Below are 15,053 nucleotides of genomic sequence, written 5' to 3' on the forward strand. Positions count from 1 at the left end.
AATGGGAAGGTGCCACACACTTCTAAAGAATGAGATCTTAGGATAACTCACTCACTATCTTGAGAACAGTACCAAGAGCAATGGTACTAAACCCATGAGAAACCCACCCAATAATCCTATCACCTGTCCCCAGGCCCCACGTCTAACATTGGGGATTATGTTTCAATATGAGATGTGGGCAAGGCATACATCCAAACTACATCAGGAGGCATTCACTTCCCACACTAGTGGCTTTCTTACAGTTTCTTAGAGACATCCACACTTTTTTGTCCCTGTGGATAAACTTTTGTGGCCTGCCTGACATTTTGTACCCAGAAGTGGGGAAGTGGGGAGGATATACATGCTCCTACTGCAAGCAGAGACCTTCAACCCTTGTCTTCATCCCTAGTTCAGACCCCCACCCTCCAACCAGCCATCTCTGAGCCCAGACCCCTGTGGCTCTGGCAGTCTAAGACCCCCGCACCCCGCACGCACACACACCCTTCCTCTGGGCTTCCTTTGGGCTGCAGTCCCCAGCTCTCTGTTGCCTCCCCCTCAGCACACTCCCACACCCCATCCAGCAGCCAGGAATTCCCAAAATCTCACAGGTGGCTGGAGGAACCCCTGTGCAGCTCGCAAGCTTATTTCTTCCAGTATTCCTTTATACAATTGGAATGGGCTCCCCAGAGGGAGAGAGTACAAAACATGCTAAATCTATGAACTTGAGCCAAATACTCAAAGGAACTTATAAATGAGAAAAAAACAGTTAAGAAATAAACAGTCACCCATATCCCATGGCCTTGGTATGACCATTCCTACCTGTGGGTGGAAGTAGTTATATCTGGATGTGGTCATGGCACAGCTAATCCACGCATGTGTGTTTATTTCACATGGTATTTTCTAGTTTTTTCTATAGCGTTATGAAGCCTTTGTCTTTATCATCATTAATGAAGCTGCAAACCTCCCAGGAGAGCCTGCCTCAACCCTCCAGAGCACGTCAGACACAGATGTCATTAACCTACGTGGGGGCAAAGTCACTAAGCAAAGCGGTAGGTGGCGAACCAGGAACGAGAGGCCACATCTGCCACATTCTAAATCCTGCTCTGTCCTTGCTTGTGAGACCATTCTGGAAATTTAATGAGGTTACCTAGCAAAGCTTATAGCAAAATTGTGGCAAACATCATTACCATTCTGTTCCCACTTCTTGGTAGCTGTTGGGGCTCAGAAAATAATACCCCAAGGTGTGGTGCTTGGACGCACTGAGTGCTTTGAACTAAGGAGCAGTCTCAGAACCAAGGTCTCTCTGACTCTCCCCCTGCCCCCTGTCTCTGGATCCTATTTCTCTCCCAAAGCACGTGGAGGGGCTTTCTCTGAAGTTTTCCTTGGGAAGTTTCTCCAAAAGAAATTCAATTGTCATGAATCCCCTCCCTGGTATCTACATTAACAAAAGAAGGTGAATTCTTACTGCAGAGAAAGAAACTAAGTCTCCACACCCAGGATACCATGTCCAGACGACTATCCAGGACACCATGCCCAGACAGACTTTTCACCTATTCTTCACAGGGCTAGATTCTGAGAGACCCCATCTGCATAATTCCCAAATTCCTGTCTCCTGTTGGCCAAAAAGAGAAAAAGCCACAACAAAAGGCCTAAGGAGGAGCTGCTTTCATCCCTTAGTGGGCTCCAGAGCTCAGCAGGGAGCAGCTCGAGATGCAATGTGTTAGTTCAGTGTCATACCAACAAATTATACCCAAAGGGAAAAGGGCTGGGACCCAAACAAGGCTTCCTGAAAGTTGGTAACTCACTCCCTCATTGTTGGAAGTTTTTAACTGAACCTCTTTCGGCAGCTCCCTGCCTCCTCTCCTTGTGTCTCAGGTGTCCAGCATGAATCACCCCCATGCAGCTGTGCCGTGGCACCAGGAGTCCATGGGGACATGGGGATGTGGGAGGTGGGAAGGGAGCCCAAGGAGAGTGAGCTGGCAGCACTGCCATGGCAGGGCTTTAGAGGGCGACAGCCCTGGTTGGAATTCCAGCTCAGGCACCGAGCCGCTGTGCGAGAGTCACTCCTCTGGTCCTCAGCTTCTGTCAAATGAAGAGTGAACAGGAAAATAAACAAAAACAAAGCACCACCTGTTGTGACAATTAGCTGTGACAGTTAATAATACTCATATGCTCAGGAAATGGGTCCTATAATCCTGTGCCTGCTGCCATGCATTTTTAGGGAAAAATACACACTTCCTGGAGCATCTGAACCACCCAGGTTGCCTATGTGTTGCCTCCTTTTTTCACTGACTTGCTAGAAATTCAAGCTCCTCCTCACGTTTCTCTGGGCTCTTTCTTTTTTCTCCCCTCAGTCTGAAGCTTCCCAACTTTTCTCAACCCCAGTCCATAGACATCGGCTTTTAGAGTGCACACCAGCAGTTGAGGCTGGCCTATGCATCGCCTCAGCCCACCCCAGACCACCCAGTGTTCCCATTGAGTTTTTATGCTCTTCCTGTTCTCTTAGAGATGCCCATTAGGAAGCTTCCAGAAGGGGGCCATTCTGGATGCTGAAAGATCTACCCTTGAATGAGGTGCTGCTGTAAGTCAGGGGAGTAGACTACAGCTCCCACAGCCTCACACAATGCTTGGGTGCTGTTGGGGCTCAGAAATCAATACCTCAAAATATGGCCCTTTGACATGCTGAACTGAAGAATCCTCAAAGTCTGTCTGGCTTTCCCCTTTCTCAGCTCCCCACCAACACCTCCTGGGTGTTAATCCTCTGTCTCTCCCAAAGCCCAGGATGAAGTTGTTCTCTGAAGTTCCCTAATCTGTCTAAAGTCTGGACCTTCCTAAGAAGAAAACATGATCCCTGGTCCCTTCCCTGGGCTTTCATTAACTGAACTCACATGTCAGGAAGAAAGTCTGAAGTCTGTCAACGCACCTGGGCAGACTTTTGTCACAAACCATGGTCTGTTCTTTAGGCACAACAGTTTGTCACAAGCCATTGTATGTTCTTCAAGCCCATTGAATTTCCCTAAAAGTCACTTATTACTCTCCTAAAATTACCCAAACTTCCTAATATGGTTTGGATTTGTGTCCCCACCCAAATCACATGTCGAATTGTAATCCCAGTGTTGGATGAGTGCCCTGGTGGGAGGTGACTGAATCACAGAGGTGGACCTCCCCCTTGCTGTTCTTGTGATAGAGTTCTCAGGAGTTCTCGTTGTTTAAAAGTGTGTAGCACCTCCCCTTTCTCTCTCTTCCTCCTTCTTCAGTCATGTAAGACAGGCCTGCTTCCCTTTCTGCCATGATTGTAAGCCCCAGCCATGCTTCCTGTACAGGCTGCAGAACTGAGAGTCAATGAAGCCTCTTTTCTTTATAAATGCTCCAGTCTCAGGTAGTTCTTTATAGCAATGTGAGAATGGACTAATACACTTCCCCATTTCTCCTTCTCCTAAGAAGAAGGATATAGAAGTACCCCATTGGTTAATTGGGTAATTATTCTACAATGCTCCTATGCTATGCATGTTAAAATAAACTTGTAGACCTTTTCTCCAGCTAATCTGCCCTTTACGAGTTAATTTTTCAGTGAACTTTCAGAGGGCAAGGGAGTTTTCTCTTGGCCCCTATGGTGGTTTCCCATCTATCTGCCTTGCATGGTGACAGCCAGCCTTTAGCAACTTCTAAAAGAAAGAGGATCTATCAGCTCAGTCTGAGCAGGCATGATAAGGTCTCCTCCCTTGCCTGGAGGCACTCATCTGAGCCTCCAAACCACCCCATTAGTGAATTCTCAGAAAGAACATTCTGCTGAGAAAGAGGAGGATAGGTTCCCAGTCAAGGCTGGGAGCTTGTAGCCACTAATCTCTTGGTGTCTAGATCAGGTACAAGGCTGTCTCTCTGTCCCCACCCTCTCTGGTCCCCTCCTCTTACTGTCCACTCCTTTAGAAGGAGCCTGTGGCAGCATGAACAAAATAAACTTCTCCTTCTTGTCCACATCCATCATAAAATATGCATAGCTGGACTTGGGTTTTCTTAAAAGCTACCAACTTGCCAATCATGTAAATCAACCTATGTTTCTGCATTAATTGAAAGAACCAGAAAAAGGCCAAAAGAGAAGATATTTGCAATACACATGAAAAGGTGATGTTTCCTTTTTTGTATAAAAGGTTCACATAAATCAAAAAGAAAAACATTTGCCACTCCTTCCACTCCTTCTCTATTAGTCAGGGTTCTCTTAGAGGGACAGAATTAATAGAATATATATATATATATATATATATATATATAGAGAGAGAGAGAGAGAGAGAGAGAGAGAGAGAGAGAGAAGTTTATTAAGTATTAACTTACACGATCACAAGGTCCCACAATAGGCTCAATAGGCTCTCTGCAAGCTGAGGAGCAAGGAGAGCCAGTCCCAAAACTGAAGAACTTGGAGTCTGATGTTCAAGGGCAGGAGGCATCCAGCAGGGGTGAAAGATGCAGGCTGGGAGGCTAGGCCTGTCTCTCCTTTTTATGTTTTTATGCCTGCCTCTCCTTTTTATGTTTTTATGCCTGCTTTACATTCGTTGGAAGCTGATTAGATTGTGTCCACCAGATTAAGGGTGATCTGCTTTCCCCAGCCCACTGACTCAAATGTTACTCTCTTTCGGCAACACCCACACAGACACACCCAGAATTAATACTTTTTATGCCTCAATCCAATCAAGTTGACACTCAGTATTAACCATCACAAGTTCACCCCTAGTCAACTTGAACCCATACACATCTCCTGAGATCATACATAATCTCCAAATAAAGACAATCATAAGGTCATATTTACATCTAACATAATACAACTATCCTTTGCACAACTGGAAACGCACCAATCCCCAACCCAAATACTATTACATAAAGTTAACAATACTTAAATGTTGATATGAAGTCAATAAATCTTATGTCACATGATAAAAGAAAAAGAATTAAAATGAATATATTTTCTTAGTACAAGTGTATACAAACACAAACATGTTTTTAGCAAAAGAATGAGGAAATATTCATGACAATTACAGTCCTGGTTTCTGCAGCTGGTCATGTGGTCATAGCTGGTATAGATGACTACCTTCTTCTACTACCTATTCTGTATTCCCTTTGCCTTTAACAAACACCTCAGCAGGTTTTGTTATTTTTCCTGGTGGAGTAACCCAAACCTTCATTCCTGAGGGGTCTGGGCCATCTGTAGTCCTGCCTGAATTGAGCTGTTGTAGTTTCCCATTGACCTTGATCACAGGGCACGGTAATACTAAGACACGCTAATGGATCTCTTGTATTCCATGCACACTTTCCCATACCTCCATTGTGGAGTAGTAGACTGATTTCATCTTAGTAGTCCGGGTCAATCACCCTAGCCAACACAGTAACTCCCTTCTTAGCCTGTTGACTTAAAGGTAGGAGGATCCCAAAGTGTCCAGGTGGCGATCTTAACTTCCAGTTTAATGGAATTGTTCTTGTGTCTCCTGGTGGCACTGTTCCTCCCTCTGGAACTAAGACCTCTAGCAGCAGAATGTAATGTCATGGGAACAGGAAGCAAAAATTTTGAGGGGTGATGGTAAGTGATGCCATTTCCATTTTCACCCCGTGATTCCTGGACCTGTGAATCTTGGCTATGGGAGAAACAGTACCATATATTGGATGCTGATGCAGAGCATACATGGCCTTCTGGAGAACTTTGCCCCAGCCCTGCAAAGTATTGTCTCCTAGTTGGCGTTGTAATTGTGACTTCAAAAGGCCATTCTACCATTCTATCAATCCAGCTGCTTCAAGATGATGGGGAACATAGTAAGACCAGTGAATTCCATGAGCATGAGCCCACTGCTACACTTCTTTAGCTGTAACATGAGTGCCTTGGTCAGAGCCAATGCTATGTGGAATACCATGACTGTGGATAAGGCATTCTGTGAGTCCACGGATGGTAGTCTTGGCAGAAGCATTGCATTCAGGACAGGCTAACCCATATCTGGAGTGTCTGTTTCAGTGAGGACAAATTTCTGCCCTTTCCATGATGGGAAGAGGTGCAATATAATCAACCTGCTACCAGGTAGCTGGCTAATCACCCCAAAGAATGGTGCCATGTAGAGGGCTCAGTGTTCATCTCTGCTGCTGGCAAATTGGGCACTCAGCAGTGGCTATAGCCATGTCAGCCTTGGTGAATGGAAGTCCATGTTGCTGAACCCATGCGTAACTTCCATCCCTGCCACCATGGCCAGTTTGTTCATGGGCCCATTGGGCAATGACAGGGATGGCTGGGGAAAGAGTCTGAGTGGAGTCCACAGAATGAGTCATCCTATCCACTTGATTATTAAACTTCTCCTCTGCTGAGGTCACCCATTGGTGAGCACTCACATTGGATACAAATATCTTCACAGTTTTTGAACACTCAGAGAGGTCCATCCACATACCTCTTCCCCAAATTTCTTTGTCACCAATTTTCCAATCATGTTTCTTCCAAATTCCTGACCATCCAGCCAAACCTTTGGCTATGGCCCATGAATCAGTATGTAATCACACATCTGACCATTTCTCCTTTCATGCAAAGTGCACAACCAGGTGTACTGCTTGAAGTTCTGCCCACTGGGAAGATTTCCCTTCACTGCTGTCCTTCAGGGATGTCCTAGAAAGGGGCTGTAGTGCTACAGCTGTCCACTTTTGGGTGGTGCCTGCATATCATGCAGAACCATCTGTGAACCAGGCCTTAGTCTTCTCTTCCTCTGTCAACTGATCCTAGGGAACTCCTTATGAGGCCATCGGTGCAGGCTCGGGGAGAGAAGGCAGGGTGGCAGGAGTAAAGACCGTGGACATTTGAGCCACTTCCTCATGTAACTCACTTGTGCCTTCAGGACCTGCTCGAGCCTGATCACGTATATGTCAGTTCCAATTGATGATGGAATGTTGCTGTGCATGACCCACTTTATGGCTAGATGGGTCAGAAATCACTCAGGCCATGGTAGGCAGTTAAGGTCACATGGTGACTCAATGACCCATAGTCAAACATTCAGTTTCCACCAAAGCCCAGTAACAGGCCAAGTGCTGTCTCTCAAAAGGAGAGTAGCTATCTGCAGGAGATGACAGGGCCTTGATCCAAAATCCTAGAGGCTTCCACTGTGATTCGCCTATGGAGCTTCCCAAAGGCTAACACCTCAAGCACCACTGGATCTGATGGGTCATATGGCCCAAGTGGCAGAGCAGCTTGCACAGCAGCCTGGACCTGTTGCAGAGCCTTCTGCTGTTCTGGACCCCACTCAAAACTGTCAGGCTTTCAGGTCACTTAATAAATGGGCCAGAATAACACACCCAAATGAGGAATGTGTTGCCTCCAAAATCCAAATAGGCCCACAAGATGTTGTGCCTCTTTTTTGGTTGTAGGAGGGGCCAAATGCTGCAACTTATCCTTTATCTTAGAAGGAATATCTTGACAGGCCTCACACCACTGGACTCCAAGAAATTTTACTGAGGTAGAAGTTCCCTGAATTTTAGTCAAATTTACTTCCCATCCTTTGGCACATAAATGTCTTACCAATAAGTCCAGTGTGTTTGCTGCTTCTTGCTCACTGGATCCAATCAGCATGATGTCATCAATATAATGGACCAGTGTGATATCTTGCAGAAGTAAAAAGTGATCAAGCTATCTCTGAATAATATTATGACACAAAGCCGGATAGTATATCAGTATGTCCCCTGATGTAGGACAGTAAAGGTATATTGCTGGCCTTACCAGCTGAAGGCAAATTGCTTCAGGTGGGCCTTATGGACAGGAATGGAGAAAAAGGCATTTGCCAAGTCAATGGCTGCATACAAGTTACCAGGAGATGTGTTAACTTACTCAAGCAATGAAACCACATCTGGTACAGCAGCTGTAATTGGAGTCACCACTTGGTTAAGCTTACAATAATCCACTGTCATTCTCCAAGCTCCATCTGTCTTCTGCACAGGCCAAATGGGAGAGCTGAATGAGGATGTGGTGGGAATCGCCACCCCTGCATCTTTTAAGTCCTTGATGGTGGCAGTAATCTCCACAATCCCTCCAGGGATGTGGTATTCTTTTTGATTTGCAATTTTTCTAGGTGATGGCAGCTCCAATGGCTTCCATTTGGCCTTTCCCACAACAGTAGCCCTCACCCTACCAGTCAGGGAGCCAATGCAGGGGTTCTGCCAGCTGCTAAATATGTCTATACCAATTATGCATTCTGACACTGAGAAAATGACCACAGGATGAGTCCGGGGACCCACTGGGCCCACCGTAAGTCAAATCTGAGCTAAAACTCCATTAATTACCTGACCTCCATAAGCTCCTACTTAAACTGGAGAACCACAATGACAGTTTGGGTCCCCTGGAGTCAACGTCAGCTCAGAGCCAGTGTCCAGTAGTCCCTGAAATGTCTGATCATTTCCCTTTCCCCAGTGCACAGTTACCCTGGTAAAAGGCTGGAGGTCTCCTTGAGAAAGGATGAGAGAAAGATTCATTGCACAAACTGTCAGTAATGTATTGGGGTCCTTCATCAAGGGGACCCGGCCTGTAAACTGGGTCTGTAAACTGGCTCAAGTATGCAAATTGATTGAGGGGCCATGATTCTCTGTTTTCATAATTCAGATTAGTATTTTGTCCATTTGACCTAGAAGTTTTCCATTTGTATAATGTAAGTAGGAATGTGGTAGGCTTCCTATCAATTTCACTTCTAGGAACACCGTGATTATTTAGCTGATGCCAGAGCTCTACACAAGTCAGACTATTCTTATTGCCGCTTTGACTCTGCTGTCCATTACGGTAGCTATGGCCACCTTGCCTTTGACTGTTTAGTGCTGCCACGTGGCCCCTGCCACCTCAGGATCCAATTATTCCAATCGTATTTAAATTTTGTAGCTGAGTGACTGCAGTTCCCACAGTTAGATCTGACATACAGAGAAAAGCAATACAGGGCTCTTCAAAGATGCAGTTGCTGCCCTCAAAAATCTATTTCTCAAGGAATTGGTCAAGAGTATATCTTCTGGACCCTCCCAGTTGGGATGAGTAGGTCTAAAGTGACTAATGCACTCCACCATCCCAATCTCTCTAAGCCTCTGGATCCCTTCCTCTACATTAAACCAAGGGAGATCAAGCGTTTCCAGCTCACTCACAGTGGGCCATCTTTTAATCGATATTTCAGCTAACCAAGCAAATAAACTATTAGAACTTTTTTTTAACTCCCCAAGCTGCAACATTAAATGCAGAGTCCCTACTTAGTGGGCCCAAATCAATAAATTCAGCCTGATCCAACTCATGTTCCTTCCACCATTATCCCACACCCTTAATATCCATTCCCATGCCTGTGCTCCAGATTGCAGTTTACATAAATTAGAGAACTCAAACAGTTCTTTTCGAATGTAGTGCACCTCCTCATGGGTCACACTCTGCACCTCACCTCTAGGGGCCCACCAAGCCTTTAGTCTAGTTATAGGCCTAGAAGCAAACAGAGGTGTTGGGGGTGGCTTCTGAGGAGAATCAACATTATTTTGCCTGGCAACTGCCTCAGGCAGCGCAGGGTTTATCTCTTCAGACAAAGGTGGAAAGGCTGATAGCAGCATGGGTGGGGGAGAGGACGTTGCCACTACTGGGGATGGGGAAGCTGTTACTTCTGGCCAAAAATGTTCATCAGAGTTTATTAACTCAGTGTCCCCAGCTTCATCAGGGTCCTCCCACATGTCCCCATTCCAAGTTGCAGGGTCCCATTCTTTTCCAATCAATGCCCTCATTCTAACAGTAGACACCTGGTGAGGCTGTGCATGCATCTTTCATTGCAGGTCAGCCACTAGTATAAGAACTTGTGTCTGTTTTTCCACAATTTCAGCTCTTTCTCTATAGAAGTTCAGACTTTCGCTCAGGGCAGTCTTAGCAGATTTGAGGCTCAGTATCTGCTTCTGAAGCCGGGAGACAGAATCCCTGAGTTCATCATTTTTTTCATCACTTTGTCCCCGAACTTAGGGGCAACCAACCAGCTTCAATATGTTCCTTGTTTCTCCACATATGGTCAAAGGCATTATGTATAGGGTTACTAAACTACTGGCCTCTCACGAGTGAAGAATCAGGAGTGTCAAATGCATTTATTTTGCATAACTCTCTAAACAGTTCATGCCAAGGACTATCAGTGTTCTCCATACTATTAGAAGTAGATTCCTTAGCATTTTGGGGTCTAATCATCTTAAGCAGCCAACTCCAGAAACCCCAAAACAAATGAAGGAACTCCATCCTTCATATTCTGTTCCTCTAGAACCACTCCTGGTACGAATATCTGTGTTAGTCAAGGTTCTCTTAGAGGGACAGAACTAATAGGATCTGTATATATATATATAGTGTGGAGCTTATTAAGCATTAGCTTACATGATCACAAGGTCCCACAATAGGCTGTCTGCAAGCTGAGGAGCAAGGAGAGCCAGTCCAAATCCCAAAACTGAAGAACTTGGAGTCTGATGTTCCAGGGCAGAAAGCATCCAGCACGGGTGAAAGATGTAGGCTGGGAGGCCAGACCCATCCCTCCTTTTCATGTTTTTCTGCCTGCTCTATATTCCCTGGAAGCTGGTTAGATGGTGCCCACTAGATTAAGGGTGGATCTGCCTTCCCCAGCCCACTGACCCAAATGTTAATCTCTTTTGGCAACACTCTCATAGACATACCCAGGATTAATACTTTGTATCCTTCAATCCAATCAAGTTGACACTCAGTATTAACCATCACACCTCCAAATGAGGAAACAGTGTGAACAAAATATTCACCTAAAAGAAGCTGTGATTTGTAAATAAGCAACTGACAGCATATTCGGCCTCTCTGGTAATCAAAGAAAATGCTGACACAAATAACTATGTATGTTTCTTTTCTATGGAATTAACTATGATTTTAAGTTTGCTGTTTAATTCTGGCAAGAGACTCTGAGATAAACACTGGTACTCTTGATTGGGAAGAAAGTAAAGGTCACAGCCAGAACTTATGAATGTATCAAAAGCTTTAAATGCATTTGTAACCTTTGATTGAGTAATTCTGCTTGTCAGAATATACCCTAAGGAAAAAATTATGAAATCCAGATATTTATGTTCATATGGTTATCACAGCACTATTCAACCAGCAAAGAAAATGAAACAACCTAGTAATTAAAATGAGTTAAAGAGCTTTTCTACTTTTACATGAGAAAATGCTCATGACATAATGTTTAGTAGTAAAAGCTCAGCACTTGAAATCACGTATTCAGTAAAATCTCAAGAGTATAAAGCAAATATTCGTAAATGCATAAAAAAGACTAAAGGTAAATAACCTTAATGTGCTGGAGATTGCAAGCAATTCTTAGGGTTTAGGTATCTTTTTGGCTTTTTCTTTTTTATTTTTTCTTTTTGCACAAAGAGCATGTGTTACTGTGATGAGGGGCAAAACCTTTCATTAAAGGCCCAAGCAACATCTACCTACCACCATCTGTAAGGGCTCACCCAGGAGACAGCAACAGCAGCAGGGGACCGCCAACTCCACTCCCAATAAGGAACTAGCACTGAGGATTTGGAAGGCAGTTTCCCATGAGCAGTTTCTTCCCTGAAGAGGAAGAGAAAATTCATCTCCAGGACTGGATCATACCATCTCACATCTTGGAGGGCTCTGCAGCTTGTATCAGCCACAGACAGTCAATGAAGACACAGCTAGAACCGTCCATCCCGGCTGCACTGCAGAGCAAGTTCTTGTCACTGTGCTGAACTTCTGGGTTCTCATCTTTACAATGGACTCTTGGCAATACTCCGTTTAAGAGTATTTATGGGAACTAGACAAGATAAGAACTGGTTTATTATTGCAAGATATAGCTGAGTTTTTTTTTTAACTTCATTAATAAATATCCAACACATGAAGACACACTAATAATACATTTCTTGACTTATGTCAGACTGTTACCATATAATTAAATTTTTCACATAATTATTTTCCCTTCTTAAGAGTCATTTATTTAACATTAGACACTTTCATAGTTAAATTTTCTAAAATATGTCAAATGTTTCCCTGTTAGCTAATTTGCTACACACTAAGACACACTATTTACTTTCTTTTTCAAATGACTTGGGGTCCTTACTATGAACAAAGTATGTGTTAGAGGAGGAAGGGGGCCAATATCTTTAAGTAACTCCAGTGTACTCTCATTGTAATTACCTCTTTAATTATTATCGAATATATTACTCACAACAGCCTAACTTTGCAGATTGCTCCAATTTCCAGGCTGAGAAAAATGAGGCTCAGAGAAAGAAAGTGAAATGCTGAAGGTTACGCAGCTAGTAGGCAGTAGAGTAACTAACCCAGATTGAGTTCCAAAGCCCTGTGGTCTTTAATAGCGCAAGGAACTGTCACATCCTCCAGTGATGGCTGGAGCTGAGATTGCTTTAGTTCTGTAACAAATGCTACTTCGTTCTTGTATCTGACCTCTGCAGTTTGTGGGGCTTTCAATTTTCACTGTTTAGTTCGTTAGTTTATTAATTTTTGGCTTATTTTCTGTAAGGAATTCTCTGCAACATTTTGATGCCTTCAACCTGTCTTACCCTAAGAAATTAAGGAAATCTCTTATGATTACGTCTAAGGCCAGTAGGTTCTAAATGAGTCTGTAAAAGTGACTTCTCTAAGTGTGCTGCAATGACCTAATGACTTGTCCGTTGTTACCTGGCAGAACTTTCTGCTTCTTTCCAACTTTCCAGCTGCATTTCAGATAATTAAAGTTATTTTCTCTCAGGACAGAGGAGCGGGACTACTGTTCCACGTAGACGTATGTGTATGTATTACCAAAAAAAAAAGTTAAACTGTTAAAGTAATCACGGGTGCAGTGGCTCACGCCTGTAATCCCAGCACTTTGGAAGGCCAAGGTGGGTGGATCACCTGAGGTCGGGAGTTCGAGACCAGCCTGACCAACATGGAGAAACCCCGTCTCTACTAAAAATACAAAATTAGCCAGGCGTGGAGGCACATGCTGGTAATCCCAGCTACTCGAGAGGTTGAGGCAGGAGAATTGCTTGAACCCAGGAGGCGGAGGTTGTGGTGAGCCGAGATCACGCCGTTGGACTCCAGCCTGGGCAACAAGAGCAAAAACTCCGTCTCAGAAAAATAAATAAATAAATAAATAAAAATAAATTAATCATTACTCATTGCTGTTTATTAAATGCCTTTTCTGTTCCCACTGTGATTCTACAATCACTGCCTCTGTAAAACCCCGGAATGCAGGTGTTCTTGCCTCCATTTTATAGATGAGGAAATCAAGACTCAGGGCTTCCCCACCAGGCCAAAGGCATTCTGTGAGTAGTTTATTTCAATTCAACATGGCTGTGCTGCACATGGCAGTTGGAGTAAAGATCTATCAGCATCGGGGGTTCTTCATGATCTAACTAAAGTGAATCATGAGTGCTTTCCCACTGCGTCAAGAAGGCCTGGAGTTTGTGCAGCCCGGCTAGAGGTGAGCAAAGCCTCTGTGTTGCAAATCTCCAGGGCGCAGCCTCTCATTGTATTCAATGCAGATGACAGTCCCAAAGGCACCGCCCATACATTGTACAGACAGCTGGCCTGGCTCTCCGGATTGTGCAGGATAGGCCTTAATGGCAGAAGGTAGGGGAGAGGTGGGCGTCACAAAAGTGCTTGGGGAACTATAAAGTAAACAATGAAAAGCAGCACAGGAAGGTTCAGACATCACACAGGAGAAGCACAGGGTGTTCCCCTGGGTGGGGATTTAAAACAAGGGCCTCAAGTTCCCTGCCCTTGTCTCTGGGCAGAAGGGGCAGATAATGCTATGATACATTTTTTGTAGGTGGTGCCATTTGACTGCATTTAACCAACAAAGGTATGTATCGAAATCCACGTGGAGATTTTCATGGCAAAAGTAGAGCGAATTCACAAACTGCACTGTGTCTGGCAGCTTCAGACAAAAGCAATGGGAACAAATCACGACTCTTGTCCAGCAATTCTTCCTGTTTTGGAATGATCTTTGCTCAACAGCCCATCCATGAGTACAGGGCCCCCAAAGGCCAACAAGACAGGGACTCTCTCCAGGGACAAATGCCCCGCAGCTGAGAGAGGCCGCCCAGCTATCCAGCGGCCGCGCAGCCAGCCAAGATTTCAACACAGGTCTGCCCTATTTGGTCACCATCCCCGACAGTGCTGGGCCAGGCCATCATGTCACATTGGGGAGTTTTCCCTGCACTCCAGGGGGAATTCTCAACCACAACCTCTGTATCCGGTAGTGGCAGATGGAAAGAGAAACGGTTAGAAAAGCGTGGTTCTTGCGCAGGAAAGTTGGAGCAAAGAAGAGTTCAGAAGTGGGCGGGTGTGTGTTTAAAAAAAAAAAAGGGGGTGGAAACCCCACCAGCCAAGTCTGCAGAAAAAAAATAAATGAAGTCTGCCTATCTCCGGGCCAGAGCCCCTCCCCTCGGCCCGCGCGGGAGGAGTGTGACCCAGGTGCCGCTTCCTCTCGCCGCCGAGGGTCAGGAGCCCGGGAGCGCGACCCTCCCCCGGCCCGGCCTGGCCCGGCCTGGCCAGTCCCCGCGGTCTCTGCCCGGGCTGACGCCCAGGAATGTGGTCGACGAGAAGCCCCAACAGCACGGCGTGGCCTCTCAGCCTCGGTGAGTACCCGCCGTGGGGAAGGGTCCTGGGGACCCACTGGAGGCCGCGGCCCGCAGCAGCCAGGGGCCGAGCCACGGCCACGGACGCCCTGGTGTCCCGGTCCGTGCCGGGCCTCCAGGCGGAGGAGGCGTCCGCTGGGCTCAGATCCCCGACTCCAGCCCCGGTTCCCCGGCGCCTGGGCTGCGCGGAGTCCCTGTCCCGCGTCCCGGACCCCTACGCGCAGCCTCCACGCGCTCCGAGCTGGAGAAGCCGCCAGCCCGCCCTCCCAGGGCGTGTCGCCCGCTTTCTGTTTCTTTGTGCGGGGCATGTGAAATGTGTGGGGCCAGAATTGTCTCCCTAAAGAACAGTTAGGTGAGAGTTCACATCACAAGTTGCTTCTGTGCTGCTCCCCAGCCAGGGTCCGACCGGCCAGGCTCCGGTGAACTCCAGGCAACTCCAGCCTTGCCCAGGGACTTGCTCGCTC

The 15,053-nt window shown here is 45.9% G+C and overlaps 1 protein-coding gene across 5 annotated transcripts in view, besides 6 other annotated features; it reads left to right on the plus strand.

Annotated features, from left to right (window-relative positions):
* Nucleotides 2,993–3,042: an enhancer, noted in NCBI's record as "active region_16475". NCBI's record gives its function as "activates an Ori minimal core promoter by ATAC-STARR-seq in GM12878 lymphoblastoid cells {active_cell/tissue: GM12878}" and the evidence as "EXISTENCE:reporter gene assay evidence [ECO:0000049][PMID:35858748]".
* Nucleotides 3,123–3,222: an enhancer, noted in NCBI's record as "active region_16476". NCBI's record gives its function as "activates an Ori minimal core promoter by ATAC-STARR-seq in GM12878 lymphoblastoid cells {active_cell/tissue: GM12878}" and the evidence as "EXISTENCE:reporter gene assay evidence [ECO:0000049][PMID:35858748]".
* Nucleotides 3,398–4,061: a transcriptional cis regulatory region, noted in NCBI's record as "candidate enhancer chr2.4504 targeted for multiplex CRISPR interference". NCBI's record gives its function as "positively regulates GYPC gene expression with high confidence in K562 cells {active_cell/tissue: K562}" and the evidence as "EXISTENCE:mutant phenotype evidence [ECO:0000015][PMID:30612741]".
* Nucleotides 9,341–9,680: a transcriptional cis regulatory region, noted in NCBI's record as "candidate enhancer chr2.4505 targeted for multiplex CRISPR interference". NCBI's record gives its function as "positively regulates GYPC gene expression with high confidence in K562 cells {active_cell/tissue: K562}" and the evidence as "EXISTENCE:mutant phenotype evidence [ECO:0000015][PMID:30612741]".
* Nucleotides 14,085–14,374: an enhancer, noted in NCBI's record as "active region_16477". NCBI's record gives its function as "activates an Ori minimal core promoter by ATAC-STARR-seq in GM12878 lymphoblastoid cells {active_cell/tissue: GM12878}" and the evidence as "EXISTENCE:reporter gene assay evidence [ECO:0000049][PMID:35858748]".
* Nucleotides 14,435–15,053, plus strand: part of GYPC (glycophorin C (Gerbich blood group)) — a 40,510-nt gene continuing 39,891 nt past the window's right edge. For all 5 annotated transcript variants that reach the window (XM_047444034.1, XM_047444035.1, NM_001256584.2 and 2 more), the window contains exon 1: nucleotides 14,435–14,589. Coding sequence is in view for 2 of the 5 variants with exons in the window: in NM_002101.5 (NP_002092.1) it covers nucleotides 14,541–14,589 (49 nt within the window). In the remaining 3 variants the exon portion in view is untranslated. The remainder of the gene's footprint in view (nucleotides 14,590–15,053) is intronic.
* Nucleotides 14,465–14,834: a silencer, noted in NCBI's record as "silent region_11926". NCBI's record gives its function as "represses an Ori minimal core promoter by ATAC-STARR-seq in GM12878 lymphoblastoid cells {active_cell/tissue: GM12878}" and the evidence as "EXISTENCE:reporter gene assay evidence [ECO:0000049][PMID:35858748]".

The sequence above is a fragment of the Homo sapiens genome, chromosome 2 (assembly GCF_000001405.40).
Source record: "Homo sapiens chromosome 2, GRCh38.p14 Primary Assembly".
NCBI lineage: Eukaryota > Metazoa > Chordata > Mammalia > Primates > Hominidae > Homo > Homo sapiens.